Below are 10094 nucleotides of genomic sequence, written 5' to 3'. Positions count from 1 at the left end.
AGCCTACCTTTTGGCCATCCCTTCCTTGGAAAGAACCAGTGTTTTCTTATAACTTTCCAGAGATTAGTCATCTAGATACAAGTATGTATATATGGGAGAATTTCTCATATTTGGGTGATATGGTCTTTTTCTCTTTTCTTTTCTTTTCTTCCGGTCTGTCTTTCTTTCTGTCCTCGTCTCGTCTCTTCTCTTCTCTTTTCTTCATTTCTTTTGATGGAGTCTTGCTTTGTCATCCAGGCTGGAGTGTAGTGGCGCAATCTCGGCTCACTGCAAGTTCTGCCTCCCAGGTTCACGCCATTCTCTTGCCTCAGCCTCTGGAGTAGCTGGGACTACAGGCACCCACCACCACGCCCAGCTAATTTTTTGTATTTTTGTGTTTTTAGTTCCTCTCCTCTCCAGGAGAGGAACAGGGGCCACAGGGAGCTGATCATGAAACACACTGAGGGTGTTTCATCAGGGAAGTGACAGGAGCATAGTCACATTCAGGAAAGATCACTGCCTCTGGGAAGACAGAGGGTCAGGGCAGAGCCTGGAGGCCAGGAGAGTGCCACCTTCAAACAGGGTGGAGGAGGCACAATTCTGGACAGGGATGTCCATGGCCAGAGGAGTGATCCAGCTCCTAGAAGATGAGGAGAGACCGAAGGTGAGGATGGCTCTTCAGTTTCAGGTTTAGGCACCTGGACAGATGGTCTTGCCTTCTCCAGCGGCAGAAAGCACTGAAGGGGAAAGAGGTTGGGGGAAGGGACTGTGTAGGCTGAGCAGCCTAAGTCTGAGAAGCTGGGCCACTTGCAGGTGTTGGTCCAGGGTGCAAGTGCATTTGGTGAAGGGGGAGACTAGGAAGGGAGGAGAAAGTCTAGTCTGTTACTAGACCTCACCATGCTGCAGGTGTCTGGGCCAGCAGGTCGCAGCTGGAGCTGTGCAGCTGGCTGCTGTCACATCCCTTTCTCTCCCAGCTGCCTTCAGCTGAGCTTAACGCCAGCAGAGGCCGAAACACTTCACAAATGCAACTTGTCAGCTGGGAGGTGCACTCAGAGCTCAGGAACACTGTTTTCCCTCTTTATTGTTTTCCATCATTTTTTTTTTTCAGTCTGGGTTTTGGGCCCCGTCAGTTCCTTTTCTGTTCAACACTGAGCTATGTATCCACCCCTCTCAAGGTTGAAAAAGAGAAAGACTGTAAAAGTGCCCTGCAAAGAAGAGGCTTCCAACTCTCTGGGGGTGGGGGGGGTGGGGGGCTCTCTTCCTCCTCTTGTCTTCTGGGTTCATTCCAAATTATTCCCCAAAGGAAAAATCACTGAAGGACTGGGGGCGGTGGTGGGGAAAAGGACAGTCTCCCAAGAGGTCAGGTGAAGCCCCAGCCTCATGGTGTTGAGGGAGGGGCTGGGGGAAGCGGGAGCCTGTTCCTAGGAGACACTGTCTACTGGACACCTCATCCTAGAAGGCTTCCCTGAGTTCTGACACTGTTCTAGGAGGAGGAATCATTATTCCACGTTGTGGAGAAGGAAACCAAGGCCGGGTAAAGTAATGTAGGGCCCTTAAAGTTGCAGAGCCAGGAATAAAGTCCGGATTGGGACTCAGGTCTGTGGGCAATCCAAGGCGGTCCCCTTTACACTTCAAATGCTCTTTCCCCCTCCGGAAGCCCTCGCGTCCTCATCCCTACCCCACCTCTTGTTCCCCAAGCGTGGCTAGGGCTAGGACTCCAGGGCTACACCAAGCACCCTTCGGTCTTCCCGGGAAGAATTTTCCCCGGCCCGGGGCTAGGGTCTGGCGCTGGGGCGCTCCTGGGACCTGCGGGATCACCACTACACTCTGGCGCGCCGAGCGCGGTGAGCTAGGGCGCCAAGGCACAGGTGGGGCTGGAGTCCAGCGCGGAGGCGCGGGGGACGAGACGCGGGGCCGGGGAGCGGCCAGGGACCGCGGCAGCGCCGCAGTGCCAGCCCGGCGCCGGCGACTGCCTGCCCCAGCCCCTCAGTGGCGGCTTGCTCCCTTCTCTCGCTCCGAACCAGACACAGCCGCTGTCGCTGCCATGTGGCGCGCCGCAGACTCCCGAGAACAGCCCTGGCTGTCAGCGGGCACCAGCCGCTTCCTGTGCCCATCGCGTAGACTGGAGGGGCGCACCACGGCCACCGAGCCAGAGGCGCTTCAGGAAGCAAGAGAAGTCCCCGCGCGCTCCGGGACCCGGCGCAGCTCATGGTGAGCGCCCTCTGGGGCTCGAGGGTCCCTTGGCTGAGGGGGCGCATCCTCGGGGTGCCCGATGGGGCTGCCTGGGGGTCGCAGGGCTGTAGTTGGGATCGCACACAAACCGACTCTGCGGCCCAGCCCGAAATGCTGCCGCCAAGGAGCAACGGCACCGCGTACCCGGGGCAGTTAGCGCTATACCAGCAGCTGGTGCAGGGGAATGCCGTGGGGGGCTCGGCGGGGGCACCGCCACTGGGGCCCGTGCAGGTGGTCACCGCCTGCCTGCTGACCCTACTCATCATCTGGACCTTGCTGGGCAACGTGCTGGTGTCCGCAGCCATCGTGCGGAGCCGCCACCTGCGCGCCAAGATGACCAACGTCTTCATCGTGTCTCTACCTGTGTCAGACCTCTTCGTGGCGCTGCTGGTCATGTCCTGGAAGGCAGTCGCCGAGGTGGCCGGTTACTGGCCCTTTGAAGCGTTCTGCGACGTCTGGGTGGCCTTCGACATCATGTGCTCCACCGCCTCCATCCTGAACCTGTGCGTCAGCAGGTCATCAGCGTGGCCCGCTACTGGGCCATCTCCAGGCCCTTCCGCTACGAGCGCAAGATGACCCAGCGCATGGCCTTGGTCATGGTCCACCCGGCCTGGACCTTGTCCAGCCTCATCTCCTTCATTCCGGTCCAGCTCAACTGGCACAGGGACCAGGCGGTCTCTTGAGGTGGGCTGGACCTGCCAAACAACCTGGCCAACTGGACGCCCTGGGAGGAGGCCGTTTGGGAGCCCGACGTGAGGGCAGAGAACTGTGACTCCAGCCTGAATCGAACCTACGCCATCTCTTCCTCGCTCATCAGCTTCTACATCCCCATGGCCATCATGATCGTGACCTACACGCGCATCTACAGCATCGCCCAGGTGCAGATCCGCAGGATTTCCTCCCTGGAGAGGGCCGCAGAGCACGTGCAGAGCTGCCGGAGCAGCGCAGGCTGCGCGCCCGACACCAGCCTGCGGTTTTCCATCAAGAAGGAGACCGAGGTTCTCAAGACCCTGTCGGTGATCATGGGGGTCTTCGTGTGTTGCTGGCTGCCCTTCTTCATCCTTAACTGCATGGTCCCTTTCTGCAGTGGACACCCCAAAGGCCCTCCGGCCGGCTTCCCCTGCGTCAGTGAGACCACATTCGATGTCTTCATCTGGTTCTGCTGGGCCAACTCCTCACTCAACCCAGTCACTATGCCTTCAACGCCGACTTCCGGAAGGTGTTTGCCCAGCTGCTGGGGTGCAGCCACGTCTGCTCCCGCACGCCGGTGGAGACGGTGAACATCAGCAATGAGCTCATCTCCTACAGCCAAGACACGGTCTTCCACAAGGAAATCGCAGCTGCCTACATCCACATGATGCCCAACGCCGTTCCCCCCGGGGACCGGGAGGTGGACAACGATGAGGAGGAGGAGAGTCCTTTCGATCGCATGTCCCAGATCTATCAGACATCCCCAGATGGTGACCCTGTTGCAGAGTCTGTCTGAGAGCTGGACTGCGAGGGGGAGATTTCTTTAGACAAAATAACACCTTTCACCCCAAATGGATTCCATTAAACTGCATTAAGAAACCCCCTCATGGATCTGCATAACCACACAGACATTGACAAGCATGCACACACAAGCAAATACATGGCTTTCCAGTACTGCTCCCTTTATCATGTGTTTCTGTGTAGTAGCTGGTGTGCTTAGAAACCTCACCCCATTGATTGATAGTTCAAAGAATTGGCAGAAGCAGTTGCAATAAACTCAGTCAAATGTACCCAGCCTACCAGAGATGGAACAATGATCCTGTGAGAGAAGAGAGTATGGTGCTGGCTCCTTAAAAAAAAAAAAAAAAAAAAAAAAAGATACTTGGTCCTTAAAAAATATGCTCTCCCCTCCCTTTTTAAACAAATGGCTTTTTCAGTCACTTGTTTGTGTTTGAATTGATTTTTAAACAGCAGGTTTTGTGTGTGTGCAGTGATGTGGTGGGAGCACAGCTTTCCTGGGTCTGGATTCCCGTGGCTTTGTGCTTGTGTCATTTCTTCTCTCTGTGCTGGTGGGGGTCTCTTTACCATAGCTTAAGAAGTCTCCCTGATTTATTCTGGTATCTAATAAACACAGATTATTTGTATTATGTGGTGACTATCTTTGCTTTGCTACACTGGGTTTCAGGATTGCTTCTGAAGAAACGATGAGTGCATCCTTAAAATGCAAAGAAGACATTTGCTGGGTCTGGAAGTACATGCTTATTCTCTTTACAGTTTGGCCTTAAAGATACACCAGGGCAAAGGACCTTGAGGAGCTTCTGTTTTCTCAGGTTTCTTTTTATTACTTATACACATGTTGGGTCTGTGCTGAAACCTGGCTTCAATGGCATGGCATTAGATCTTCTCAAGCCCAGATTTTTTTTTTCATTTGGAATCTTTTTTGAAGTAACATGAGACAACTCTCCTTATTCCTAGACAGATGCGATCAGTTCATTGAAAAGTTCATGTAGAATAATATCTTGAATCTTTCTCCATCTGAAATCTGTAGCATGTTTTAGAATCACATGGCTTTTGAGAAATCCTGTTTTCTGAAGGGCTTTGAAATGTGTGAATCAAGATGCTTTAAAAAAGAAATCTATTTTTAAATAGGCATTTTCCTTAGTGGACAATAGCAAATAGAGAAATGCTTTTTAACTAAAATGTAGAAGCCAGAGATGAAATGTGAATGAACTTGAAATTGGAAAATCTGTAGGTCGAGGTGCTCAATAGAAAAGCCCAGCTGACTCCAATCATTTTGTTTTTCCTCTCTGCAGTGTGCACAGTCAAGGGGAGTGTTTTATTCCAGACCCACACCAGTTGAGAGCATAGTATTACCATCAGATCTAAATATGAGCACTATTAATGGAAGCAAATGAAATGTGAATATGCAATTTCTTGCAAGTCCCTGCTTTGAAGCAGTTTTATCAAGGACAGTTCAATCAATTTTGATCTCTCTAAGGCTAATTTTATTGTCAGTCTTCTGTGCAGCCAACTGCAAAATGTGCAGCTCCTGGCACATCGTACTTAATAAATATTTGTTGAATGAATGACTATTCTGGAATAGTGAGATTGAAAGCAAATCCTATTCGGTACATCAATTTTTATATATAATTTAGTCAAAATGATACTGGAATCTGAGGCCCGTGTACAGTTTCTGACCTCCTGTGAATGGATAGCTAAGTGAACCATTAGGCAACATTAGGGGCAGTGAAAAGCACACAGCTCTACGATTCAGGAGATGGTCGCATGACCTTGAGTGAGTCAATTAACCTTTCTGGGCCTCATTTTCTGTCTGTGTCTGTAAATGGAAGGACTTCAGCTGGATCACTGTTTACCCAATTGTGCTTTGTGATGCAGATGTTAATGGATGGGGTCTCTGGTGAAATAAGTTCAGCAAACCCAGGTTCAACACCTGTTTTCTCGATAGGACTTCTTAGAGCTTCTCCTGTGCATGATGCATCTCCAGTGCGAGAAGATTCTGTATCATTTCCCAATGCCATTCACTTTGTGAACCTTGTTTGGTGGAATTCCTGTTACTGTTTCACTGGAGTCCACAGTCACTACTTGAGAAACTCAAATCTAACTGATCTGGAAGTCTTTACAATATTCTGTTCTAAAGCATGGGTTGCTATAAGCAAAATCTTTTGTGAAAAACACTGTTCTAGGCTCCAGTTTAAATAAGTTCTGTGTTATGGAAAATGGGTTATGTGAGGACTTTGGAATTTCCTTCTGTAAAATATCACTCACCATTCATTATAATTACGTACTATGCTCTAGGCATTGTTCTAGATGCTGGGAATATAGTTGTCAATCAAATTCTCTGCTCTCTTGGAACATTTATGTGAGCTGTGGGAGAGATAAGCCAATAAAGAGATCTGTACTATACTGCACTGCATTGCACTGTGCTGTACTGACCAGGATAGATAATGCCAGGCAGGGGTAATTGCTATGTTGCAAAAAGCCCAGGGTGAGTAGGGTGGTGAAGCTGCTGTTTTATTTATGGTGGTCAGGGGAGGACTTTCCAAAGAGCCACATGAAGAGAGACCTTGATGAAGTAAGGATTGGAGGGCTGCTAATGTCTGGGAAGGAGAGCAATCCAGGCAGAGGGAGTGGCAAGTGCAAAGGCTTGGAAATGGGATTGTTCTTGGCACCCTCAGAGGAGTGTGGCTGGAGGGCTATAAAAGAGGAGTGTGATAGGATTAATGTTAATTGCTGTAGCAGCAATTGCAGCAGGCATGATGGAGACCCAGCCTGTGCTGGGTACAATACATGTATTAATTCATTTCACTCTCATTGCCCTGTGAGGTAAGCACTTTTATTACCCCATTTTACAGATAAGGAAATGAAGGCATTGGCAGGCTAAATAACCAGCCTGTGGTCACATAACTCCTGAGTGGCAGAGCTCAACTTGAACCCAGGTAGCCTGGCTGTGGAGTCTTTAATCCTAACTGCTCTTTGATGGTGAGAGAGGATGCCAGGACATCTTCAGTCAGCAAATGCACTAGTGCACAGATCAGGACATTCAGTTTTTTGTTCATTTGTTACTGAAATGGTTAATTGATTCATCCCCACAGCTATACAACAGCAGATCTTCACTGTGTACCTCCTCTGTGCACAGCTTTGTGTTTGGAGGGAAGGCACCCTAGGGTTATGGGCAAAGTAGCTCTTACATGATGGGCCAATTGCTTTCCTGGATTCTTATTTATTCCTCACATTAACCTCACATGTTATTATTTTTCCATTTTACAGGTGAGGACATGGGGGCACAGAGGACCTTGAGGACAAGGTTGTTTGTCCAAGGTCATGTGAAAAGTAAGTAGTGGAACCACGGTTCACCCTAGGTCAGTGGTTCTTAAATGAGGGAACTTTGCACCCTGCACCCCCACAGATATTTGGCAATGTCTGGAGACATTTTTGGTTGTCACAACTGGGTGTCAGGTGCTCCTGCCGTCTTCTGGGTAGAGGCCAAAGATGTTGCTAAACAACTTATGGTGCACAGAGAATTATCCGGCCCCAAATACCCATCTTGCAGCACTCGAGAGGCCTTGGCCAGGCGGGCAGACTCCAGGTCCCAGCTCCCCGTCCACAAGGCCACCTGCCTGGGATTGGAGGCTCCAGTGCCCTAAGTTTGAAGTTTGGCTCCACCATTTATTAGTCTTCTGAATTTGGGCACCTTTCTGAGCTCCAGCTTCTTTATCTGAGCAATGGGCACATGAACCACACAGAGCGTGAATTACACAAAACACATGCCCCAGAACTTCCTTGTTCTGATACATGCTGAATCTTCTTTTATAATTAGGCATCCATACACCATATTCATTGGTTAGAAATGAGTCATTACGTCCAAATCATATTCAAGGGGAGGTGATTAGACTTTACCTCTTCATGGGAGGAGTGCCAAAGAATTTGCAGAAGAGATGTTTTACATTTTATGCTTTATTTTTAAACACTTGTTCTCACATAGTTTCAGACTTACAGAAACCTTGCAACACGGTACAAAGAATTTCTAAATATTGTTTACCCAGATCCCCCAAACATCAGGGTTTCACTGTATCACTTATCTCTGTTCTTCCCTTTTTCTTCTGAGTCATCTAAGGTGTGATGCCCATTTACTCTTGAATATTTTGTTGCATATTTCCTAAAAACAGGGAATTCTCTCGTCTCATCTACAGACTTTATTCAGACTTCACAATAATGTCCTTTATAACAAAACAATCCAAGACCATGTGTTGCATTTAGCTGTCCCCTGTAATTTGAAAGTTTCTGCTGCTTTGTCTTTCTTGACACAGACCTTTGTGAAGATTACCTGGCCAGTTACTTGGTATAATTGTCCTTCAACTTCGGTTTTTTGGTGCTTTTCCATGATTAGATTCTGTTATGCATGTTGGGCAGGAATATCACTGATGCCATGCTGAGCTCCTGTAGCTCAAGGCATGAGGGGCAGGTGCTATTAATTAGTCCCATTACTAGCAATGTTAACTTTGTTCATGGGGTTACGGTGCTGTCCACCGTTTTACTCTTTATAATTAATATGTATTTCCTTTGGAGAAATACTTTGAGACTATGAAGATATCCTATTATTTCTCAAACTTGCATCCATTGGTTTTAGCATTTATTAGTAGCCCTTCCCTGAATCAGTTATTACTGTGGTTGTCAAATCATGTTTTTTAAAAAAATTCTGTAATCTTTCTAAATGTATTGTTGGTTTTCTACTGTAAGGAAGAACACTTGTTTATATTATTGACATCGGCATAGAATCTTGGTTTTCTAGTTTTCTGTTTGTTTTTGAGACAGGGTCTCACTCTGTTGTCTAGGCTGGAGAGCAGTGGCATGATCACAGATCACTGCAACCTTGACTCCAGGGCTGAAGTGATCCTCCCACCTCAGCCTCCCAAGTAGCTGGGACCACAGGCATATGCCACCATGCCCAGGTAATTTTTTTTTTTTTTTTTTTTTGTAGAGACGGGGCCTCCCTATGTTGTCCAGGCTGGTCTCAAGCTCCTGGGCTCAAACAGACTTCCCGCCTCAGCCTCCCAAAGTGCTGAGATTTACAGGCTTGAGTCACCATGCCCAGCCCGGGTTTCTAGTTTTTATAATAGGTTATAATCTTTTACTTGACGCTGTTAATGGATACTATTTTTACATTCCAGGTATGGGACCTGGGGACACATGTGTCCCATTTCTATGATATTAACACAATGCTCATTCTAGGGGCAACACTCAGAACACTGTTTTCTATTGTCTTCTAAGACTGTCCCTGACCTCAAATCTCTCAGTGAACTGAGGGTATCCATACTTATCATGATATTTAGGTTGCCCTAGATTTGGTGAGTGGGAGCCCTTTAAGTTGGTTCTTGTGTCCTTTTGACATGCTGTCATTATTCTTTGAGTAGTTTGTTACTTTTCAACATGAGATATGTCAGACTCATCTTGTGTATTCCCTGTCCAAGCCTTGGAATCATCCATTTTTCCAAGGAGACCAGGGTTCCTTCTAGCAGAAAATGATATGGAGAAATCAAGATGTGGGCACTAGGGTGTTTATTGTTACTGGGGTGATATTGTTTCTATATCCTCTTAAAAGACAGAGTTGGGAAATGGATACATGTATATACATGCACACATATTCATATGTGCATATACACATATCCTTGAGCATCTCTATCTATTTCTATGCCTACCTATGTACATATATCAAATCCCATGCACTCATTTTGATATCTAGCAGACATATTTTAAAAACCATCACCTCTGGTTCAAATCTTGATTCTCTAATGTTCTAGTTCATGAGAACTGGAAGTCAAAGAGATTAAGTTACCTTCCTAGGTTTAAAAAATATTAAAAAGGGAATAATTAGTTGCTTACCTTGTAGTTTATTGTCAGAGTTATGTGCTATGATGCATGTGGAATGTGTAAGGGTGTTACACAATGAGAATTTAAAAATGGTCTTCTTGTGACTGTGCCCTTAAGAGCTGAGAGTACAGGGCAGAACCTTCCTGTTTCTATGTAGTGGTTCCATGCTCCATTTTACAGACAGTGTGAGAAGCTACTAGGGATCAAGAATTCAAGAGTCAATATGCAGGAGAGGGATAGAGTAGCTGAAGAGCAAACTAGACTTGCCTACACCTAGAATAGGAAGAAATAGCACAAGATGTCAAGCTTGATAGGAGGAAGTTGTTGATATGAGGGGAGAGTTAATCAGAGAATGTTGAGCCCATGTGGAACCCCCTGGACCTCTAGGCCAATTTGGGGGAAGGGCTTAAAGGGAATATGAGTACCCCTACTCACAAGAGCAGGCAGAGCCATCAGACTTTTGCTTTGACACTGTTAATGAAGTACCATTTTGATATTCCAGGTATGAGACCAGGGGATACATG

General features: G+C 47.5%; 1 pseudogene; it reads left to right on the top strand.

Moving 5' to 3' along the window:
- LOC101929815 (dopamine receptor D5 pseudogene) lies at positions 1927-4325 on the top strand (annotated as a pseudogene).

Source organism: Homo sapiens, chromosome 1 (assembly GCF_000001405.40).
Source record: "Homo sapiens chromosome 1, GRCh38.p14 Primary Assembly".
Taxonomy (NCBI): domain Eukaryota; kingdom Metazoa; phylum Chordata; class Mammalia; order Primates; family Hominidae; genus Homo; species Homo sapiens.
Note: the sequence above shows the minus strand (reverse complement) of the source record. Positions and strands in the feature narration are given on the sequence as shown.